The sequence below is a fragment of the Homo sapiens genome, chromosome 1, assembly GCF_000001405.40.
Source record: "Homo sapiens chromosome 1, GRCh38.p14 Primary Assembly".
NCBI classification, from domain to species: domain Eukaryota; kingdom Metazoa; phylum Chordata; class Mammalia; order Primates; family Hominidae; genus Homo; species Homo sapiens.
In genome coordinates, this window is record NC_000001.11 from 231,463,928 (window position 1) to 231,489,454 (window position 25,527).

The 25,527-nt window shown below is 38.4% G+C and overlaps 1 pseudogene across 1 annotated transcript, besides 1 other annotated feature; it reads right to left on the reverse strand.

Annotated features, from left to right (window-relative positions):
• Positions 1–11,834: 11,834 nt before the first annotated feature.
• On the reverse strand, positions 11,835–12,598 carry SNRPD2P2 (small nuclear ribonucleoprotein D2 pseudogene 2; annotated as a pseudogene). The gene has a single exon (NR_033826.1). The product of NR_033826.1 is annotated as a small nuclear ribonucleoprotein D2 pseudogene 2 (transcript).
• Positions 14,893–15,394: an enhancer, noted in NCBI's record as "NANOG hESC enhancer chr1:231614566-231615067 (GRCh37/hg19 assembly coordinates)". NCBI's record gives its function as "activates a minimal SCP1, AML or CMV promoter by ChIP-STARR-seq in naive H9 embryonic stem cells {active_cell/tissue: H9 hESC(naive)}" and the evidence as "EXISTENCE:reporter gene assay evidence [ECO:0000049][PMID:30033119]".

Sequence of the window (25,527 nt, forward strand, 5' to 3'; positions counted from 1 at the left end):
GATTTGGGGTGATTAATTATGCAGGATATAGACTGGAGCAGATTTTGGTAACTGCAAATGGGGTGCTGCCACATAAAACATGGGAGCAAGCAGTGGGAGGAAGTTAGAAGCACCTTGAGAATACTGTTAGCTGAAGTCTAATGGCCCTCAAGGGGGCTATTGGTAAGGGCTTAAAGAAAAGTGAGACAAATGTTCCTGGAACATGAACCCAAAAGTGTCTGAGACAGATCTCTGTCAAAAAAAATGTTTATTTTGCCAAAGTCAAGGACACACTTGTGACACAGCCTCAGGATGTCCTGATGACATGTGTCCAAGGTGGTCTGAGTACAGCTTGGTTTTGTACATTTTAGGGAGACGTGAGACATCAATCAATACATGTAAAATATACATTGGTTCAGTCTGGAAAGGTGGGACAGCTCAAAGCAGGGACTTCCAGGTCATAGAGAGATTTAAAATCTTTCTGATTGGCAATTTGTGAAAGAGTTATTATCAATAGAAAGAAATGTCTGGGTTGCAAAAAGAGGCTGTGGAGACCTAGGTTTTATCATGCAGATGAAGCTTCCAGGTAGCAGGCTTCAGAGAGAATAGATGTAAATGTTTCTTATCAGACTTAAAGAGTCTGTTCCATCAGCAATTCCAAAAGAAAGGAGGGTATAATGAGGCGTGTCCAGCTCCCCCTTCCCATCATGGCCTGAACTAGTGTTTTCAGGTTAACATTGGAATGCCCTTGGCTGAGAGGGGGGATCCATTTGGATGGTTGGAGGGCCTTAAAATTTTATTTTTGGTTTACACAAAGTTGGATGAAAGGAGATTGTTGTTATATAGTGATGGTAAGTTTGGTAGAGTCATTACCTGTGGAAACATGAAAAATAGATAATGTATCACTGAACTGATGGATCCAGCTAAGGGGATTTCCAGACAGACATCAAAAGTGTCACCTAGTTTCTTTAAGCTACTTATCATAAGGTACAGATAGAGACAAGCAAAATAAATAATTGGTATATATTAACAATCAGCAAAATTAAAAATAGAAGTACTATATAATCCAGCAATTTCAGTTCTGGATATATATCCAAAAGAACTACAAACAGGATCTCAAAGAGATATTTGTCCACTCATGTTCATTGCAGCATTATTCACAATAGCCAGGAGGTAGAAGCAACCTAAATGCCCGCTGACAGATGAATGGGTAAAACAAAATGCAGTGTATGCATACAATAGAATATTATTCAGTCTTAAAAAGGAAGGAAATTCTGTCATGTTACAAAGTAGACATATGTGAAATCAGTCACAAAAAATACTGCATGACTCACTTATATGAGGTATCTAAAGTAGTCAAAATTATAGAAACAGAAAGTAGAATGGTAGTTGCCAGAGGCTGGTGGAAGATGGAGGTGAGGAGTTGTTATTTGGCATATAAAGAGTCTCAGCCATGCAAGATGGGGAGGTTTGTATGACACAGAGCATCCAGCTGACAATATTATACTTGGAAATTGTTGGGAGGGTAAATTTTATAGTACATGTTTCTTTACTACAATGGAAAATATATTAAAAATCCAGAACTTCCTAGGTGTCAACACAATGCTGTTTTTTATTTTCAGGCTCTTCACATGAAAAACAATGTTAAAAATTAAGAAATGGCTTTTAGACAGAGATCAAATCAAGTTCACTTTCAAGAAAATACGGTCTAGAGAGAAAGGCAAGAGTGTGACTGTACAACTCTTTAAGATCTTGAAAAGATTTGAAGGGTACATCACAGACCTTTGCAAGTAGACAAAAGTCTCTATTAAAATCTTAAAAGCATTTCTTGAAGATCCTCTGAATTAAACAATGGGGCTTTTAAAAATCTTTAAGTTGTCCCACAGCAACCTTACAGGGAGCCCAACATAGAAAGGGCTTATTTTTATTCTTATTTGTGAGTGTGGCTTTTGTTGAATGAATCAAACCCCAATAAGATTCTTAGGAAACCTACCATATTTTTCGAGAATTGCACTGCTGAAAACATACTCAGCTTGGATTAAGAGGTACAGAGACATTATAAAATGAAAGGTGGCCTTTGGATCTTTGAACTACTATAAGTAGACACAAGCTGAAAAAAAGAAAAAAATGTACTTAGCTGCAAACACCAGCCATTTCTTATAGAAAAGAAAGAATGATTCACATAGTAGTTGCAAAAATGGTACAGAGGTCCCAGGTACCCTTTACCTAGCCCCCAATGATGATGTGTTAGATAACCAAACCTGTATTTAGTATGTCTTTTCCTCTCTCTCTCTCTCTCTCTCTCTCTTTCTAACTGCTTTTTAAATTTACTCTTTATCTTTGTTTTTCAGCTCTTTGATTATGATGTGCCCAGATATTTTTCTTTGGGGTTTGCTCAGCTTCTTGGATTTATGAGTTGATGTCTTTCGTTAATTTTTAGAGCCTACTCAGTCATTATCTCTTCATTTTCCTCACTTGAATACTTTCTATTTCCTGTATTTAAATTCATTGATTCTTTTTTCCCTTGCTGTGTCCTGTTTGCTTTTAAGTTCATCTAATAAATTCTTCTCTTCTGATATCATATTTTTTATTTCTAATTTTTCCATTTGGTTCCTTTGTAAAAAAATAGATTCAATGTCTATGCCAAATTTCTCTTCTTTGCTTGCATGTTGTCCACCTTTTTCTACTAGATTGCTTAGCATTTTTAAATAGTTATTTTAAAGTTATTGTCCAACATTCTAATGTCAGGGCCATTCCTGAGTCTGTTTCTATTGGGTGTTTTCTTTCTTATTTTTCCATCAGTTACATTTTCTTTTCTTTTCCTGTTTTTTATTTATTTTATTTCATTTTATTTTTTTTGAGACAGGGTCTTGGTCTGTCACCCAGGCTGTAGTGCAGTGGCATGATCACGGCTCACTGCAGCCTCAACCTCCCAGCCCCAAGTGATCCTCCTGCCTCAGCCTCCTCAGTAGCTGGGATTGTAGGCATGCACCATCGTGCCCAGCTAATTTTTTTTTTTTTTTTGAAACGGAGTTTCACTCTGTCGCCCAGGCTGGAGTGCAGTGGTGTGATCTTGGCTCACTGCAAGCTCCACCTCCTGGTTCACATCATTCTCCTGCCTCAGCCTCCTGAGTAGTTGGGACTACAGGCGCCCACCACCATGCCCGGCTAATTTTTTGTATTTTTAGTACAGACAGGGTTTCACCATGTTATCCAGGATGGTCTTGATCTCCTGACCTTGTGATCCTCCCGCCTCGGCCTCCCAAAGTGCTGGGATTACAGGCGTGAGCCACCGCACCCAGCCGTGCCCAGCTAATTTTTAAATTTTTTGTAGAGATGGAGTCTCACCATGTTGCCCAGGCTGGTCTTGAACTCCTGGCCTCAAGTAATCTTCCTGCCTTGGCCTCCCAAACATTTTCTTGCCTCTGTGTGTCTTGTGATTTTTTATTAATCTCTTGACTTTCTGCATCCTAACAGGAAGAAGTCTGTAGCTTCCTTTTTCCATTTATCATCAAAACAAATGCTTTTCCATATTATTATATACTCTTGCTAATCATCATTTTTAATAATTGCAAAATATTTCATTTGATCATTCTTTCATTGTTAGACATTTAGTTGGTTTCTCATTCTTCTCTCTGATTGCATACAGGATGATATGTATAAAAAATAGTAAAGAATGAAGTAAATAATATTTTTCTCTAGAAAAGTGAATGTCCTTCCTTATGTCAGGCCACTAGAGCTGGGGACTGGATCAATCTGTCCAGTAGTTGAGCTGAATCAGGGCTTTGTTGCATCTTTAGTTTGATAATAATCATTGTCAAACAAAAGATGATTTGTTATATCTTTAGTTCACTATTGTCTCTAAATGTTTTGATGGTAGAATTAGGATTTTCTTTTCCGCAGGGCTTGAGGTCTGAGCAATGGCAAGTTTCCAGAGATCTTTTTGTACTTTACAGCTGGGTTATCAGTTTTTTGTTTGTTTGTTTGTTTGTTTTTTGAGACAGAGTCTCACTCTGTCACCCAGGCTGAAGTGCAATGGTACGATCTCAGCTCACTGTAACCTCCGCCTTCCGGGTTCAAGCAATTCTCCTGCCTCAGCCTCCTGAGTAGCTGGGATTGCAGGCACATGCCACCACCCCTGCTTATTTTTTTGTATTTTTAGTAGAAACAGGGTTTCACCATGTTTGTCAGGCTGGTCTTGATCTCCTGACCTCATGGTTTTCAGTTCTTTAAGTGACGGGTGATTTTCTCCTTTACAGCTTGGCTGTCAGCTTTTGTGGTTATTGAGGAGTTCTCTTTGCTCTCCAGTACTACCCCCAGCTTTCTATACCTCAGGAGATACCTGTTTTACTGTCCTGCAGTCTTTGGAGGACAGTTCTTTCCACTCTCTGAAAACCTAGATTGCTTGAGCAAGATTTCTGTCAGCACTTTTTCTCCTCCCCAAGCATTTGGAACTGAAAGCTACAGGTATTTAGGTTGGACTTCTCTGAGCTCTCCTCCTCTGCCTCCCTCATTCCAAGGGCAGCTGCATTGCACTTAGAAGATGCTTTGCACACCTGAAAAGGTATCTGTCTCCGTGCTATCCTGCCCAGTCACATGTATGCTATCCTCGAGCATCCTGTGAAAAGTTAATGAAAGAGTTTGTGGGTGGGTACACACTTGCTATGTGGCTGGGGATCCTTTGAATTCCGATCTGTTATGTCCAACCACATATGGCTATTATATTTGTTAAAGTTTTGGTTGGCTTCTCTTTGTCCACCAGGTAAGGCAGAGTCCTCTTTTTCCTGCCATTACATCAGGAATAAGAGAAGACATGAACTCTTTCTCTTCTGTGAACACTTGTTGCCTTCTGAAGTTTCGCTTATTTAGGTTTATTTGCATCCTCAGTTCTCTGGGAAGTTTTAAAAATATTATTTTATAGCTTATCTGTCTTGCTTTTGGTGTTAGGATGAGAACGATGGTCTCTTGTGACTTTCTACATCCTAACAGGAAAAGGAAGTCTGCAGCCTCCTTTTTTTTCACTTAACATCAAAACAAACACTTTCCTATGTTATTATAAACTCTTGCTAATAGTCATTTTTAATGGTTGCCAAATATTTCATTGAATAGGTTAATCATTCTTCTATTAGAATTTAGTTGGTTTCCAATATTTCTATAGACAATCAAAAAAAATTTTAAATCCCTACTCATGCATGACAGTGCATAATGAGAACTGAATTCTTGTTAAAATTCAGTAACATACCTTGAGGTGGCAGGAAGTAAGTGCTTTTTAATACAGTTTATCAAAGCTTCTCTGAACAAAAATATTCATAATGATGCTAAAAAAGCACACTGTGGATTTTATCAATTTTATATGCATGCTTTTAAAGTATAAAGCATTATATAAGGCATCTGTTTTATTTGTCCACTAAGCGTCCTCCCTTCCTGCTTCTGGAGGAGGATGAGTAGTGGACAAATAAAACAGATGCTCCATTTGCAAAAGTCTATTAAAAACGTGTTTTCTAGGAGTAAAAATAATAGAACATGAAATGTAATCAGGGACTCATGTATGGATTTCAGAGGGTCCATAAATTCCCTAAAAGGCCACACATAAATGAGCATATTTTTATTTTTCTTGGGAGAGACTCCATAACATTTACCAATTATCAAAGAAGTCCATGATCGTAATATGGTGAAGAATCCTTGCCATGGAGCTGATGCATTTAAATAGATTGTGAGCCCTTGCAGGTATCTTAATAGATCAATGACCTCACATGTTTGAAAATAATAAATGTACATTTCAACATGCCTAGCCATCATGCATATCACCAGAATAATCTTAATATTAGTAATATATTAGTTTTAGTATTAGTTATTTTATTCATAAACTTAGTTTATAAATTGGCCTTTCCCACTAGACTGTGAGTTCTTTGCTTTTTATTCATCTGTGTTTGCCTAGGACCTAGCACTGTGCTTAGTAAAATGACAGATGTTTAAAAATGTTTGTTGAATAAAGAATGGATAAATTAATGAACCAATATTAAATGGTTGGTATCTATTTTGAAAAATTAAGGAAACAATATTACATAGTTGATATCTAATTTTGAAATGTTGGCAGACATCTTCCCTACTCCCTTTCTCTATCATACAAACTAGTTTTTCTTTGTGTCTCACTAAAACCATAGACTTGACTTTGTCTTACTTTCAATATTCTAAGGTTAGAAACCATAACCCAGAGATAGGAGAGCACGGATAATAATAGCCTGGATGATGAGAAAGGCGTAATCAGGAAAAGGGCACTGGCTTGACTCAGATCATCCACAAAATGAAAATCAACTTACAAGAAAGTGAAAATGAATTACACATTGTAAATTAATTTTTTTTTTCTTTTGAGACAGAGCCTTGCTCTGTCACCTAGGCTGGAGTGCAATGGCACCATCTCGGCTCACTGCAATCTCTGCCTGCCAGGTTCAAGTAATTCTCCTGCCTCAGCCTCCTGAGTAGCTGGGACTATAGGCACATGACACCACACCCGGCTAATTTTTTGTATTTTTAGTAGAGATGGGGTTTCACCATGTTAGCCAGGATGGTCTCGATCTCCTGACCTCGTGATCTGCCTGCCTTGGCCTTCCAAAGTGCTGGAATTACAGGCATGAGCAATGGACTTTTTTTTTACTAAGTTCTGTAGTATCTTATTTTGCCCTTTTTGGACTTATTTATTCCTAATAATAGCCATATTTTGGACTATTAAAAATAACTGATCTAGGATAACACCAGTGGGACTTTCAGGATTCACCGTTTTATCTCTCAACTTTTCAGAGTAGTATTTAGCCAGGTTGCATTCCCTCACGTGAAACCCTGCAATATGTGCAGATTAGTAAATAAAATGTTTTCTGCCATTTATGTCATCCACCCCAGAGTTAGGACTCTATCTTACCAGTATTTTATTTACAATAAAATATTTATAATATTACTTATACTATTTTAACTTACAATATCAATACCACCATTAATAGGAATAATACCTTGGAACATATTAATATGCTTTCTCTTACTTTTCTGCCTTCGTGAACTTCTCCTTAGTCAGCTCAAGACATGAAGTTAGGGAATGGCAATTAGAACCGTTACAGAGGAATGCAAAAGGAAAACAGAGAGTTAATATTCGGCTTGTGACATTTAAGATGATATTTTACACAAAGGCAATAATCTTGCAGGACAGGCTTTATCAAGATAGAGGATTTTTCAAATGCTTTCATCTCCCCCTTGGCGTATCTAGATCTAGGGCTCAGAAAAAGACACCATAGAGTCTTAGAAAGGGGAAAGTAGAATGATGATTTCCAATTTCATCCATGTCCCTACAAAGGACATGAACTCATCATTTTTTATGGCTGCATAGTATTCCATGGTGTATATGTGCCACATTTTCTTAATCCAGTCTATCATTGATGGACATTTGGGTTGGTTCCAAGTCTTTGCTATTGTGAATAGTGCCACAATAAACATACGTGTGCATGTGTCTTTATAGCAGCATGATTTATAGTCCTTTGGGTATATACCCAGTAATGGGATGGCTGGGTCAAATCGTATTTCTAGTTCTAGATCCCTGAGGAATCGCCACACTGACTTCCACAATGGTTGAACTAGTTTACAGTCCCACCAACAGTGTAAAAGTGTTCCTATTTCTCCACATCCTCTCCAGCACCTGTTGTTTCCTGACTTTTTAATGATTGCCATTCTAACTGGTGTGAGATGGTATCTCATTGTGGTTTTGATTTGCATTTCTCTGATGGCCAGTGAATCATCATTCTCAGTAAACTATCGCAAGAACAAAAAACCAAACACCGCATATTCTCACTCATAGGTGGGAATTGAACAATGAGAACACGTGGACAGAGGAAGGGGAACATCACACTCTGGGGACTGTTGTGGGGTGGGGGGAGGGGGGAGGGATAGCATTGGGAGATATACCTAATGCTAGATGACGAGTTAGTGGGTGCAGCGCACCAGCATGTCACATGTATACATATGTAACTAACCTGCACATTGTGCACATGTACCCTAAAACTTAAAGTATAATAATAAAAAAAAAAATAAATAAATAAATAAAAAATAAAAATAAAAATAATAAAAAAAAGAAAGGGGAAAGTAGAAGTGGCCTTTCCGTCTTGGGTATTGTGGAAAAAAGGAAAGGAGAAGGTAGGGAGATAATGGGTTCTAATATCCCTTCTTCCACCTAAGCTGGTCAAGGCCACAGCAGATTAAAATTGGTGGATCAGTTTAGAGACAGATAAAAGGCAGTTTTTAAACTTTTTAAGCTACTCTTTGTTTCTGGATGCCTTGGGAAGGACTGAGAAGTTCCTACAAGCCCCTAAGAGAGGACATGGCAAGTAGCTGAGTTGAGAACTGGTGGTCCTGAAACAGGGGCCTAATATGTAAAAAGCAGTTATAACAGCTGAGAAGCGGCCACCTGGGCCAGAATATAAAGGAACACAGAATAAAAATGCAGAAGAATCTTCAATATTAGTGAGGCCAAATTATGCAGGGAGCTCTACTAGCCTCTGACCCAGCTGAGAGATACCCAGCTACAAATTACACTGACTGCAGACCCCAGGATGCTGTAAAGGCAAGCTGTACCCTGGAGGATGTGGTCGTTATTGTGGAAGTCAGAGGAAAGAGTACAAGGACACTGTAGTTTCTGAGGAAGTTTTCCTTTGTGGCCACAAGGCCACAGCCAGCCACACATTTTCCTGTCTTGGAGAGAAGCAAGGAAAGGATAGAGAGGAAATCTGATACTGATTATTTTTATCTATAAAAATGAACATTTACTATTTAAGTTATTGTATCAGTTAACAACAGCATTAGGCAAAAACTTAAGGTTTATGTCACACTACCCAGGCAATAGAGGCTAGTGAAGAAGATCAAATCAGTTACAGAGAAAATTAAACATTTTCTTTGCATATGTGAGTTGTAGTGTGAATGAAATTTACAGACCCACTACACATGTATACTTACACTTTAAAAGTTTTATAATATATTCATCTTCTAAGCAAATAACTAAACTATGAAAATAAATAAACCACACTCTTTTTTAAACATGACTTTTAGAATACAGGGCTCACAAGCCACAAGGCAACATGTAATAATGATAGTAGGTGCTAAAATCCAGTGCTTTAAGCACTTTATGCTGGCCACTGTGAAGACAAGGGTAGACTTTTTCACACTAAAGAATGGATTGTTCACTTTGGGAAAAGAGCAGATATCAATTCTTTCCATAGACATTACAAATAAATTTCCTTGAATTGTAGAAATAAGTAACATTCTTTAACTTTTGGGAAGTTTCAATCATTTCATTAGGCTCTTCATGAGTTTACAGACATTCGTTGGGTGAAGACAAGATTAAACAGGACCAGAATTTCTATTTCACATCAAGCCAATAATAATTTAAGAATATATTACATGTAAGATACTGTACAGGATCTAATAAGAAAGACTCAATTTCTCTCTTAAAACAGTAAAACTGATGCTATAGGGAAGCAGACAATTATTGTTAAAGGAATGCTATGGATAAAGAAGATAATAAAAGTCCCAAGAAGGGAATGCATGCATCTTTAGCACTGAATATAGTCCTTTGCTCCTTTGCAACCAGTAAAGACTCAATTAACATATGTTGTTGAATAAATAAATGAGACTCACTTATGAGGTAGAGACAAGATTTTCTGAATAAGGTTGAATGTGAACAGGATTTTAAAAGGCAGAAAGGATTTGGATATGAAAAATGAATGGGGGGGTCATTTGTAGGGGAAAGGTATATTTTCAAGGGATAGAAGTACAGGGTGTGTTTAATGAACAATGGTACAATTAGTTGAGATAGAAAAGGGACATCATGAGTTGTGGGCAATACTAAGGAGCTTCAATGGGAATTTTCCTGGACCAGTGACTTCAAAGCTAGCCTGAGGAGTTTGGACTATCTATTACCAACATCAAAGCATTATAGAGACAATTGGCTGGGTAATGCGATCAAAGGCGTATTTCAGGACAGTGAAACTACTAGCACAAACGGCATGGGTTAGAGTAGCGAGAGATGGAAGAAGTAGAAACCAGTTACAAGGCTATTGCTATGGTATGTTCAGTTCCTTTTATTGACCTTAAATTCCTTGAAGAGAGGAACCCTATTGCTGTCTTTTTGGCTCTTAACTGGACATCACAGGTACTAAATATATGTTCATTTATTCTTGACTTTGGGTATTGGTGGTGGAAATGGAAAGAAGGGTGTATTAGTTCATTCTCACGTTGCTATTAAGAAATACCTGAGACTGGGTAATTTATAAAGAAAAGAGGTTTAATTGGCTCATGGTTCTGCAGGCTGTACAAGAAGTATAGTGGCTTCTGCTACTGGGGAGGCCTCAGAGAACTCCCAATCATGGCAGAAGGCAAAAGGGGAGTGAGGAGTCTTACATGACTGAAGCAGGAGCCGGGGGTGGGGGAAGTGCTACACACTTTTAAACAACAAGATCTCCTAAAAATTCACTCACTATTGCAAGGACAGCATCAAGGGAATGGTGCTAAACGATTCTTGCGAATCCGCCTCCATGATCAAATCACCTCCCAAAGGGCCTTACCTCCCACATTGGGGATAATAATTCAACATGAGATTTGGGCAGGGACACAGATTCAAACCATATCAAAGGGATTCATTGATTTATTTGTTAAATAATCAGTAGGTAGGGGCAACTATATTCCTGGCACTGTAAGAGATGTTGCAAAAGATAATCAACAGGACTTAAGAGTAAGGAGAAAGAACACTTACGTTTTTGCATGTGTGGACATCAAATGTGGCATATCTGGTGAGAAGACTGTCATTTTCTGACTCTTTTAATCATTATAAGCCTTTGTTTCCTAAACCATCCCTCTTGGGGGAAACATAGGGTGTAGGTAATAACTTCACTGATAATATAATGTTTGGGTCGGATTCCATATCCAGCAGGGTCACTGGGATCCAGCAACCAGTCTAGAAACTGTCTTTTCTTATCTGGGTTGGCCCAGGTAACTTGCAAGTTCTAATTGTCTACATTTGAGTTTTCTTGGTGTTTTACCCCCCAAGAAGTGCTCAATTTCTTGTTCCTTCTTCCATCTCAGAGACTTACCTTAGTCTGCCCACTGAGATGACCTTGTGACTCCTACCACAATTTCCACTGGGATCTCTTCTTCACCTGGATTATAATGACTTTATTAGACTCTGAAAAAGCCACGTTCTTTTTTTTTTTTTTTTGAGACGGAGTCTCATTCTGTCGCCCAGGCTGGGTGCAGTGGTATGATCTTGGCCCACTGCAACCTCCGTCTCCCAGTTCAAGCAATTCTCCTGCCTCAGCCTCCTGAGTAACTGGGACTATAGGCGTGTGCCACCACACCTGGCTAATTTTTTGTATTTTTAGTAGAGACGGGGTTTCACCATGTTAGCCAGGATGGTCTCGATCTCCTGACCTCGTGATCAGCCCTCCTCGACCTCCCAAAGTGCTGGGATTACAGGCATGAGCCACTGTGCCCGGCCAAAAGCCATATTCTTAAAATTCCTTATAATTTATCTGGGGCTTTACAGAAAGGTACTTAAGTGGGTTGGCAAAATCATACCTCAAAATATCCCTCCCCTCAGTAATCAGTCTGTGCCCCAGGTATGTAAATTCTTTTCTCCTCAGAGTAAGTTTCCTAATCTCCATATGCCACACACATTGGCTCCTTCTTTTTTGAAGAGTCTTATATTTCATGCAAATTGGATATGACAAACCAGGTAAGTATAATATATAGATTAGGTCTCTTTTTGGATACTTGCTTAACAAGTTATTAATAGTTAAATACAACATCCCTAGAAATAGATAATATTTTTGTTATCTGTTTTTTATTTCTGAAGAAACAGAATAATAAATGACTTCCCTAATATGACCAAATGACTAAAGTTTTATTGTTGTTGTTATGTTTTGTTTTTACTACTAGAAAAAAAAAAGCACAGGGCTTTATTATCCCCATAACAAAGGGTAGGTCTTCATAGGATGAGGGAGTGAGTTCTGTCAATGGGGAGGTGGCCCCCACTTGTTGGTGATGACTGAGTCCCTGCACAGGAAGAGCTTGGAGATGAAGTGGTCTTTGTTGGCTGGCTTGGACTTCTTCTTGCCCTTGCCACCGTTGCCCCCCTTGGGGACCTCAGTACACATCTCCTTCACATTCTCCAGCACCATGTTGCAGTGTCTACTCAAGGCCTTCGCAGCCCAGCAGCTTGTTGTTGTCAGTAGTTGGTGAGCACTTCAGTGTTGTTCTTGACTGACTGCGGAGCACAGAGTGGACCCTCCTCCCCGTGCTTCTGCATCTCCTCTGGGGACATGTCCCTCTGGGGTTTGTTGAGGAGGTTCAGGGTGGTTACTATGTTCTTGGTTCACTCCCATCTCCTCTGCGTTGCTTCTGTTTTTCCAAATGACTACAGTTTATCAGTTATAAGCTTGACTACATAACACTGCTACTGCCTCTCCCCCCAATAACTCTGAGCACAGTCCCTGGCAACATAATGTGCTGATAAATGCTTAATAACTGGCTGTCTGTGATGGTGGGAGGCAGTGTTTGCAGCGTTTGCCAGTTTCCATGGTGTAAATTCTCCTAACATTCTTTCAAGCTACCCATGTGATGTCACTGAACTTGGAATTGGGAAGAGATGGGCGCAATCACCTCTTGCAGGCTGGTATGAGCCAGCTCCGGTATACCTCTGCCTGGCACCTAGTGTGAGTTTAGAATTTAATTATTCCTCTGTGAGCATTTGCCATGACAAATAACAACAGTCAAAAAACTTTGTTATAGCATATCTTATTTGGGGAGTCTTGGTTTTGATGCTAAAGCCAGTTTTAGGAGGCACGTACCTACACATTGCTAGTTGCCAGTTAATTATCTTGCAGAGCTAAAAGTTATTCATTTAGGCACAGACACTAAAACTTCATCCAGTTTTTCAAAATATGGACTTACTTTGTCAAGTAAGATGGTAGGTGGGAGAATACAAGATTGATTGCCTTTTAGATTCAAGCAGAAGTGAGGGTGAATATTAATATCAGGTGGCCACAGGGAAGGCCTGTATTCTAGAAAACTCTGGATTAGTTTAGAGGCTTGGGTTCTAGTCTCAATCCTGCCACAAACTAATTGTGAGACCATATCCACTAAAGCCTGCTGGGTGTGAATTTCTTCATCTGAAAAAATGAGAGAGTTGGGCCAGATTATCTGTATGCTCCCTTACAGCTCCATCATTCGAATTGTACAAATTAATATAGAAGATAATAATGAGAAGAGTTTTAAAATTATAAAACTTATATACAAATTATGGTAACATGTATACCCAAAATAAGCAGGGTCTTGAAGAGATATTTGTACACTCATGTTCATAGCAGCTTTATTCATAACACAGATAAGGTGGAAGAAACCCAAGTGTCCGTCAATGGATGAATGGGTAAACAAAATGTGGTATATACATGCCAGAGAATATTATTCAGCCTTACAAAGGAAGGAAATCTTGTCACATGCTACTACATGAATGCTAAGTGAAATACGACAGCCACAAAAGGATAAATGCTGCATAATTCCACTTATATGAGATAGAGGCCGGGCATGGTAGCTCACGCCTGTAATCCCAGCACTTTGGGAGGCCAAGGTGGGTGGATTGCTTGAGTCCAGGAGTTCAAGACTGGCCCGGGCAACATGGCAAAACTTCATCTCTACAAAATTGTACATATATATATATATATATATATATATTAGAGTAGTCAAATTCCTACAGACAGAAAGTAGAATGGTGATTGCCAGGGACTGGGGAGAGGGGAAAATATGGAATTGTTTAAAGAGTATACAAAAGTTCCAGAGATGGATTACACAACAATGTGAATATACTTAACACCCCTGAACTGTACACTTAAAAATCGTTAAAACAGGCTGGGCGCGGTGGCTCATGCCTATAATCCCAGCACTTTGGGAGGCCGAGGCAGGCGGATCACCTGAAGTCAGGAGTTTTGAGACCAGCCTGGCCAACATGGTGAAACCCTGTCTTTACTAAAAATACAAAAATTACCTGGGCATGGTGGCAGGCGCCTGTAATCCCAGCTACTCGGGAGGCTGAGGCAGGAGAATTGCTTGAAGCCAGGAGGCTGGTGACAGCGAGACTCCGTCTCAAAAAAACAAAAAGTTAAAATGGTATATTTTGTATTACGTGTGTCTTCTCACAATAAATAATTATAATAACAAAAGAAACATGAGGGAATTTTGCGAATGTTTGTTAGTGTTCTTGGAGCTTTGCCAAATGTGGTTCCCCAAATAGCCCTCAGTAGGTGATAGTAGGGTTTTATAGTAAAATCACGAGTGTAAATTAACATCTTGGGGATTTCCAATGAGGTTCTTCGGAGAAACCTGTTTATATTAGATGACAAAACATGGTATTCTGCATTTTTGAAATTGTAGATTTGCTGAGATTCAGGCTAATTAAAATTATAAATATAAATTCCCTCTGATTAGCCTGTATTTAAAAAATTGATTCAAAGACAAACCAAAGTAAATGATATAAATCCACTTGCAAATGACAAAGCACACATTTGCTTTGATTGGTCTTTTTCTGAATGTTCAAATGCAGGCATTTAACCCTGCCCATAGCTCACAAATTCCTGAGGGCAGCCCGGGCATATCACTGTGTTAGGCAGCCTGGCTCCTCAGAGGAGACACTTTCTATCTGACTTTTTCCACCTGTATATTCCCAGGTCTCCTCTCCTCTAACAAGATGCTGGATTTTTTTCTTTTCTTTTATTTTCTTTTTTTTTTGAGGCAGCGTCTTGCTCTTTTGCTCTGTCATTCAGGCTGGAGTGCAATGGCACATCTCGGCTCACTGCAACCTCCACCTCCCGAGTTCAAGTGATTCTTCTGCCTCAGCCTCCCATAGGCGCATACCGCCATGACTGGCTAATTTTTGAATTTTTTTTTTTTTTTTTTGGTGGAGACAGACTTTCACCCTGTTAGACAGGCTGGCCGCAAACTCCTGGGCTCAAGCGATCTGCCCGCCTAGGCCTCCCAAAGTCCTGGGATTGCGGGAGTGAGCCAATGTGACAGGACCAGATGCTGGATTTTTAAGTAGCGTTAACATTGTCCTGAATTTTGCTCTTCACTATCTTGCAAATTAAGGCAAGTAGGAAGGGGGCGTGGGTGACAATCCTCAACAGTTTGCTATTGGCTTTCTTTTCATGCCAGAAAAGCAGTGGATATACCAACATTTCAGATATTGACGTAAGGCCAAGGCCTTTCTTTTGAATATAGACTGACTGGTTAGAGTCCTATGTCATCTTTCTTGTACAAAACTGCATTCATAATTCATTTTTTATTTCCAGTTTAAGTTCTTTAAACTACAACAAGAAATAAAAGACACTGTGAAGCAAAGCATTTTGCATGCAGAATTTATTCATATTTTCATTTTTTCCTAACCTCTTATTGTTGTCCTACTGTCATATTCAAACTTAATTTTACAGATTTTTTTTTTTAGCAATTTGCCATTCTTGAGTATATGTAACACTTTCAAATTTGTTTTCAAAGAAACAGGTCTTAATTTTAAATTTATATCAATTAGTTTTTCTAATCTTCACTTAAATGTTATAATTATAGAAATAAATCAACTGGCATGACAGATTTGTTAACAAATTCAACTCAATGATCCTTGGTATATTTACAACATTCACAAAATTTACAAGTATATTTCTGATCTGGGCGTTGTAGAAATCTGTGTCTATAATAGAAAATTGCCTTCTCACCCAGCAGCAAGCAGCCAGCCTGCCTGCCTCTTCTGTTCTTTACTAACCCTTATTGCCTAAATGATCTCTTCCTAGTTCCATGGCTTTAAATGACATCTATATAATGCCACCTCCCACAATTGTGTCTTTAGCTGGGATCTCTCCAGAGAACTTCAGTCTCCCATATTCAATGTGCAACTCTACATTTCCATTTAGAAACCTGGCAGGCACTTCAAATTTAGCACGTTCAAATAAAATTCATTCTACCTCTCTCAAACTTGTCCCTCTCCTTTCTTTCCCGTATTGTAAAATGCAACTCTATTTTTCTAGTTGTTTAGGTTAATAACCTATTACTCATTGCACTTGATCTAGAAGTATATTCTCCCAACTTTACTTCTGAATTATACCTCAAATCTAACACTTGGGCTGGGTGTGGTCTTGCATCTGTAATCCTAGCACTTTGGGAGGCCAAGGTGGGAGGATCACTTAGGATCACTTAAAAGAAGACGTGATTTTGTTCTTTTTTCTGGCTGCATAGTATTCCACAGTGTATATGTACCACATTTTCTTTATCCAATCCACTGTTAATGGGCACCTGGGTTGATTCCATGCCTTTGCTATTGGTTATACCATTTTATATATATACCAGGAGTTTGAGACCAGCCTGGGTAACATGGTGAGATCCCATCTCTAAAAGAAGAAAAAAATAGCTGGGTGTGGCGGTGCACCCCTGTAACTCCAGCCACTTGGGAGGCTAAGGCAGGAAGATAACTTGAGCCCAGGAGGCTGAGGCTGCAGTGAGCCATAATTGTGCCACTGCACTACAGCCTGAACTCTTTACATTAAGCAAAACTGAAATTCTGTACTCATTCACCTCCATTCCCTTCTCCCTCTAGCTCCCATCCTACTGGAGGTACCTTATATAAAGGGAAACATACAATATTTGCCCTTTTATGACTGGCCTGCTTCAGGTAGCATGACGTCCTCAAGGTTTATCCATGTTGTAGCATGTGTAAGAATTAATTTTTTTTTAATTTTTTTAAACTTTTTTAGATGCAGTCTCACTCTGTCACCAGGCTGGAGTGCAGTGGCTCGATCTCGGCTCACTGCAATCTCTGCCTCCCGGGTTCAAGCGATTCTCCGGCCTCAGCCTCCCAAATAACTGGGACTACAGGCACCCGATGCAACACCCGGTTAATTTTTTTGTATTTTTAGTAGAGACGGGGTTTCACCGTGTTAGCCAGGATGGTCTCAATCTCCTAACCTCGTGATCTGCCCACCTCGGTCTCTCAAAGGGATTATAGGTGTGAGCCACAGTGCCTGGTCCTTCCTTTTTAAGACTGAATAATATTCTATTGTATGTATATACCACATTTTGTTCACACATTCATTTGTTGAATATGTGGGTTGCTTCCACCTTGGCTATTGTGAATAATGCTGCTATAAACATGATGTACAAATATCTGTTTGGGACTCTGCTTTCAGTCCCTTTGGGTATATACTCAGAAGTAAAATTGTTAAATCATATACTACATTTTTAATTTTTTGTGGAACTGCCATAGTGTTTGCTACAGTGGCTACACCCTTTTACTTTTAATTTTTAATTTTATTTTTCCAACTTTTAGACTCAGGAAGTACATGTGCATGTTTGTTACAAAGGTATATTGAGTGCTGCTGAGGTTTCGGATACAATAGAACCTATCACCCAGTAGGCATAGTACCCAGTAAGTAGTTTTTCAGTCCTTATCCTCCTCCCTCTAGTAGTCTCCAGTATCTATTGTTCCCATCTGTATGTCTGTGTTTACCCAATGTTTAGCTTCTATTTATAAGTGAGAACACGTGATATTTGGTTTTCTGTTTCTGTGTTAGTTTGCTTAGGATAATGGCCTCCAGTTGCATCTATGTTGCTGCAGAAGACATTATTTTGGTTTTTTTTCTGGCTACATAGTATTCCACAGTGTATGTGTACATTTTCTTTATCCAACCCATGTTAATGAGCACCTGGGTTGATTCCATGCCTTTGCTATTGGTTATACCATTTACATTCCCATCAACAGTACACAAGGGTTCCATTTTTTCCATAACCTTGCCTACCCTTGTTATTTTCTGGGTTTTTTTTTTTTTTTGGCTGGGGGGGTTGGTGGTAGATAGTAGCCATCCTAATGGGTGTGAAGTGGTATCTCATTGTGGTTTTGATTTGCATTTCCCTAATGATTAGTGATAATATCTTTTCATGTACTTACTGTCATTTATATATCTTCTTTAAATAAATGTTGGTTCAAGTCCTTTGCCCATTTTTTAATCAAGCTGTTTGTGTTTTTGTTGTTGAGATGTAGTTCTTTACATAGCCTGGATATTAATCCTTATGAGATACATGATTTACAAATATTTTCTCCCATTCTGTAAGTTTCCTCTTCACTCTGTTGATTGTGTCCTTTGATGCACAGAAGTTTCAAATTTTGATGTAGAAAAGTCATATATTCTTTTAATTGCTTAATACTATCTCATAGATCAGTGTGGTCTATGGATTGCAAATCAAACAACCAAAAAAGAATATTGGGTTCTTCTCTACCTTTTCTTCAGAACTAATTTGACAATAACATTGGACATATCACAAATGACCATCTATGATTCTTTTCTCACCAATAAAATATATGATGTCTTCATAGAAGATAAATTATAAAATATTTTCTGTGTATTTTAAAAGAAAAAAACCCTTCAGAGTAAAGTTTACCTTATCTTTACTATGTTTTCCAAGCAGGTATGATTTCACAGCTATTTAAGTAGTTAACAGAAATCTAATATTCTGAATCTATCTCTAAAACTTTCTGAAGGTGGTGGTGAGTACTGTCAATCCCTTGCTGTCACATGATATAATAAGATAGATTCACTTTGTTGCCAAAATAGATGCATCAACATTGTTTTGATGGGTAAAGCTATTAACAACATCCATTCTCTAATATCAGATCATTTCCCCACCTACAATTCCATCAGAATCTATTGGCTTGCTGATGGCTAACACTGTCAGATTTTCCATTAGAAGTAATCCCACAGGGGCTGTGTGCGGTGGCTCACACCTGTAATCCCAGAACTTTGGGAGGCCGAGGCGGGTGGATCACTTGAGATCAGGAGTTTGAGACCAGCCTGGCCAACATGGTGAAACCCTGTTACTATTAAAAAACAAAAAATTAGCCAAGCATGGTGGCACGTACCTGCAATCCCAGTTAGTCAGAGGCTGAGACTGGAGAATTGCTTGAAACTGGGAGGTGGAGGTTGCAGTGAGGCGAGATTGCGCCATTGCACTCCAGCCTGGGTGACAGAGCAAGGCTCCATCTAAAAAAAAAAAAAAAAAAAAAAAGTAATACTACACAGGATTAAATTTAGGACAAATTTTATTACTTTATCTTTATATATTTTCACTATCCTGCCCAGGCTCATCTCAAACTCCTGGGTTCAAGAGATCCCCCACTTAGGCCTCCCAAAGTGTTGAGATTACAAGTTCGAGCCACTGAGCCTGGCCAACAAATTTTATTATACTGTCAAATTTTATCATACTAGATATTTGCATATTTTCTCTGCTTATAAAATTACTGAGAAGCATCACAGCAGAATTCCAATTCTCTAAATATGGTGTAGCTATCATTATGTTAGACTGATAACATGATGACCAAAGCTGTGAGAACTGCCATCTTTGTTACAGGGTCAGAGAAGTTTCCAGAACATGCATTAAGTAAATAAAGTGTAAATAGATCTTTTCCTTGTGGAAAATTCCACTGGGATGGTGACTTGTACACATTGTGTCACCTCTTTCCAAAACTATGATTTTATTCATTATTAAAGTGATTACTTTAAAACCATTATTTGCATCAGGCAGTCAGACTGACTTACTCCAACAATTGAGTTCTCCAAACCAGAGCAAGCAATACACGGTGTTTTTTTATTTTTTTGAATCATGTTCCAAAATGAATGTCTAAGTTCCATATCTGATGATAATCAGATGGAGCTAAGTGTGGTTGGGTGGGGAAGAAAAAGGCTAGAAACTGGACTTACCTCCATGCCCTGAATTATACTTTTGCTATAGTTCAACAAAGACTCTGCCTGTTGAAGAAGCAACTGATGGGAGAGAATATGTTTGGAAAGCAGTAAAAGAGTAAAAGATTACAAATTTTTAGAAATCTTGGCTTGACCACTTATTAGTTATGTCAATTTAAGCAAGTTATTAAACCCTTCTAAACCTTATTTTCCTCATGAGTAAAATGATAATTCATTTACTTATTCATTCATTTACTTAACAGAATTGAGGGTGGGGAGATGTTTACTGTGTACAGGAGTGTCTTGAGTGAAGCCACTTTTTCTTTTCTTAGCATTTAGAGCTCCTAATCCCAGGAAACAGAGAAAGGCAGACATGCATGTATACACACAGTTCAAGTCTTCCAGGGAGAGTACAGTTAAGTTAAATATGAAACTTGTTGCTATACATAATCTTTTTGCCCAAGTGACACTGATACACTTTTTTCCATAACCTTCCACTTTAGATTTTTAATGCTGGAAAGGGGATAGTATATGAATTACGGAATGAACTTTTAAGTCCACCTGACACAGATTCAAGTACCAGTACCAGTGTAATAAAGCAATGTGAGTTGCTATTGCAGATCAACCTCAAATTTTCAGTGGTTTAATACAATCAAAGCACCAGCTTCTGTACTAGGCCCTGGAGCATATTAGTGAGCAGGACACATACATCCCTATTCTCCAGTGAAATAATAATAACATGTATAAGGCTCAGTACAAAAGTAAATATAATGGCAATAATTGTTAGCAGTTATTGAGTGCTCTCCATGTGGCAATTTTAAGCATTTTATGAAAATAGTTTTTCAACCTCACACTAATCTTTTGAGAAGAGTACTCTAATTACCCTCTTTTAGCAGATGTGGAAACTGAGGCAGACAATGGTTAAGTAACTTGCAGAAGTAATAAGTGGGAGACCTGGGATTTGAACCCAAGTGATTTAGCTCCCAAACCTGTTTGCTTACCTATGCTCAGGGTCAGACCCACAGGCATGTGACCTGTACAGTCACACAGGGCTCTATGCTTAGAAGGGCTCTGCACTTAGCTTAATGCTTTGTGGCTGCTGCCATCTTAAGCTTTTGAATATTTTTTGAACACAGGGCTCTGCATTTCCATTTTGCACTGGGTTCTGCAAATTATATAGCTGGTCCTGACTATGCTATGCTATCACAGCAAAAGAAAAATCAGGCATTTCAAAAAGAGCATGGAAGTTGTCAACTTTCAAAACTGTTCAGAAATTATTTTATTTGTTTAGTCAAATATTTTCTAATCCGTAACGTGCCATGAACAACAAAGGGCACAACCATCAAAAGATTACCTCTGTGTAGGCCCCAGGCCAAAATGGTATGCTTTACAACTTACCAGAATCTCTCATTTGATCTTCCACAGCAACCTTATATTAAAGGCAGCTTATATATTCTCATTTTACAGATGTGGAATTTGAAGCTTACGTGATTTGCCCAAGGTCACATTGCTGTTTAAAGTAAAATAGAGATTAGATTGCAGAAGGTTTGACTCATGGTTGGGACCTTTCCCACTACTCTTTGTGGCTTCTAATTCTTGAAATGTTATTATTGAGAGCACTCAATAACTGTTAACAATTATTGCCATTATTTTTATTTTTGTACTGAGCCTTATGAGATATGTGTTGTTATTATTTCACTGGAGAATAGGGATGTACGTGTCTTGCTTGCTAAAGAGCTAATGCAGCTTTATGAACAAGCAAACTATAGAGAAGTTTGATCTGCCGACAATGTTATAGTAATTCTCATTATGAAGATTTGGGTTTTACGGTACTTTGGCTCAAAGCCTGAGATGATGTCGTTTTTAATGATTCAAGGCATCTACAAAAGTTAAACCTCTTAACCACAGCTGACTGGGTAAAATGCATCGAACAGGCTTACTTTTGTAATAAAACAATCCATGTTATGGCATCTGAAAGGGCAGGTTTTCAGAGACTGGCTCAGGAGGGTGGCTTAAGAAATGTGATTAAATAAGAATTGCCAACCAGTTATTACCTAGGTGGCTGCTGGGAGGGGTTGAGTGACATGGGAGAGACAGCTTGAGGTTCTCAGAGCATCCTCCCTAGTGAGTTCCTGCCCAGGATGTTCGGGGCTGATGCTGTGAAACTGGAGTCTAGGAGTTAGGCTTGAGCCTGTGACCATAGGATCAAATGTGAACAGGAGGATCTTGGACAAAGTCATTTCTTAGGTAAGCTGAAGGACTTAGAGTTCCCACTTCCAGGATATATGGAATGGCACACATGCGTTGTGGAGACACACAGACATTCAGGCTTCCAGGGAGAGTACAATTAAGTAAAATGTGAAACCTGATTCTGTACATTCTTATTGTCCCAGTGAATCAGACACTTTTTTTTTTTCATAAATTTTTACTTTGGGCTTTTATTGTTGGAGACAGTATAGGATTGCTGCTGGAAATATGGCTCTTTGAGTTAGTCTGACACAGCTTCAAGGACCAGCACCAGTGTATTTTATTTGTTAATGTTAGCGCTATTGAAAATAAATCTCAGGCTGGCTGTGGTGGGTCACGCCTGTAATCCCAGCACTTTAGGAGGCTGGGGATGGCAGATTACCTGAGGTCAGGAGTTCAAGACCAGCCTGGCCAACATGGTGAAACCCTGTCTCTACTAAAAATACAAAAATTAGCCAGGCGTGGTGGCGGATGTCTGTAATCCCAGCTACTCGAGAGGCTGAGGCAGGAGGAGAATCGCTTGAACCCAGGAGGCGGAGGTTGCAGTGAGCCAAGATCGTGCCATTGCACTCCAGCCTGGGCAACAGAGTGACACTCCATCTCAAAAGAAAAAAAAAAATCTCAAATTTTCAGAGTATAATGTTCTTGGTTAGGTGGCTTTCCATGTGGTCATTCAAGGACTCATACCCCTAGGACATTGTGGCTCCCACCCTCCTCTAGGTCCTTGGTGTTCTCTCCATTCAGCTAGTAGATTACAAGAGAGAGAACACCTGGGAAATCGTGAAGGTATTTTTGTGGGCCAGTTCTAGCCGAGGTGTGCATCACTTCTTTGTATGCTATTAGACAGAACTTAGTCACAGGGCTTCCCTGAGATGCAAAGGAGCCTGGCTTATGCAGTTTCTGGAGAGCGAACCCCTTCTCAGCAATAGCTCCACACTACGGAAGCAAGCATGAGTCTACGGTGAACATTGTCATCTCTTCCACAACCACCTTGGCTGCTTAGCAACAATATGGCTTGGGTAAAGTTTCTCATCCCCTCTAAGCCTTAGTTTGGGATCTGCAAAATGGGAATACAAATACAGTCTCAATGCTACATATCTGTTTCTGCAAGGCTAATTAGCCCATATGCAATTGGTAAACAAGGATATGTTATCCATGAACACAGAAGTGGCATTGGTTCATATTTAAGTTTTCTCCTTACAGATTAACATTGTGTGTCACTGTATAATAGCAGCTGAATGCAAAGTCCATGAACACAGATGAGTCAGCCATGCATGCTTACCCCACACGCTTCCTCTGGGCTGAGTCCCACCATATGGTCTGTCTTGCAATTGCTTACTACATTGTTTCCCTGACTTTTGTGCATTTTTACCTGGTCTTCATAACTCAGCAACAGCAAACTTTCCTTATATTCTCTTCTATTAAGCTGATTTAATTTTCAACTTCTTTTAAAATAATTACAGGCTGACAGAAAAGTTTCAATAACAGTACAAAAAGTTCTAATGTACTCTTCACCCAGGTTCCCTAAATGTTAACAGGTTACCACAATTGCTTTATCTTTATCTGTCTATATTGGTTTTTTTCTGAGTTATTTGGATGATTTACATACATAACATCCATTAATCCCTAATCCTTAATTGTGTATTTCCTAAAAACAAGAACATTCTCTTATATAACTACAGTAAAATGATCAAAATCAGAAAAAATACATTGATAATTATACATATTTTAATACAATATTATTATTTAATCTGTAGCCCTTATTCAAATTTAATAGATTGTCCCAATAATGTCCTTTACAGCAAAGGAAAAAATGTATTTCCTGGTCCAGGATTACATGTTGCATTTAGCTGTTAGGTCTTTTTTTTTTTTTTTTTTTTTTTTAATTAATAGAGTAGAAAGAACAGAGAGTTCCCAAATACCTCTCTCCTGTCTCCCCTCCATAGTTTGTCCTATTATTAACATCTGGCATTGGTGTGGCACATTTGTTACAATTGATGAGCCAATATTGACACATTGCTGTTAATTAAAGTCCAGAGTTTACAATACACTCTTTGCGTTGTATATTCAGTGGGTTTTGACAAAGGTATAAGGACAAGTATCCACTATTACAGAACAATTTCACTCCCTGAAAATACCCCGTACTCCACTTATACATCTTTCTCTCCCATAGAGCCTTTTTAGACTGGCCTATGCAATGTGCATTTAGGTTTCGTCCATGTCTTTTTGTGGCATGAGAGCTCTTTTTGCTTTTCTTGGTTGTGTGTTTTTTGTCTCCTCTAATCTGAATAAGCTCCTTAGCCTTCCTTTGTCTTTTATGACCCTGCCATTTTTGAAGAGTATAAGCCAGCCATTTTATAAAATGTCCCTAGCTTCACTTTTTTGTATCAACTTAAAATGTCTTTATTTTTAGAAAGTTAAGGTGTCCTTTAAATTGTGATATTTTCATTATAATTGTTATTTAAGTACATTTGTTAGTGCTCTAATTTATAAAGTTGCATTGGTCTTTAGCAACCTGACTTAATCCTGTTTTTCACATAAGTCTATTATTTTTTGTGTGCAGTTTTGCAGAAGGCAAATTTTTCTTTAGAAAGTATCAAAGAGAAAGTAGGGAACTGGAACTTCAAGATAGGCAACAAGTAATAATATTTGTACTATCAAAGTCCCTGAAAAAGCAAATAAAATAATGAAACAGAACTAATATTTAAAATTATAATCCAAAAAACTTTCCAAAAATAAAAAGCTGAATCTATGAATTGAAAGAGCTCACTTAGGTACATGAGAAAATTCATCCAGAATGATCAACTCTGAGACACATCCTAGTAAAATTCATAGACCCAAAGATGAAGTCCTTAAAATCTCCAGGTAACAAGATCAAATATGCAAAGAGGAAAATTAGACTAGCATCAGACTTCATAAAACAATACAAAGTCAAACAACTGAGGAACAAGTTTTTAAGGCACTCACTCAAATAAATTGTGAATTAAGAACTTTATTTTCAGCTAAATTGCCCCTCAATGTGACGACTATAGAGAAACAGTCTCAATATACAAAAATGTAGAGAATTCTGTATCAATAAATCCTTTTGAGGAATTTATTAGAGAATGAACTTTCATCCAACCAGTAATGGCAGGAGAAACTTGAGTAAAAGAACTGATGGTAAGCATTTAATAATCTATAACTATACATAAAACTAAAACAAAGGTGGAGATGAGGATGGAAAACTAGCATACAAATGTTATATATTATGATAAAGTAGAAATAATATATCTTAAAAATAGGCAGTATAAGAAGAGGGAGAAAGAAAAGTAGAAAAAGCTCATTGTTTGAGGAGTAATAGGGGGATGTTAAGAGATACTGGAAAAAAAGCAAGCCTGATAAACAAGACAACAAAAGGTTAATTAACAAACGGGGGACCAAGAGCACTGAAAAAGATATAAATACAAAGGTAACCACTAAGATAAAAATATAAACTTTTCTAGAAAACCATAAATAAAATAGT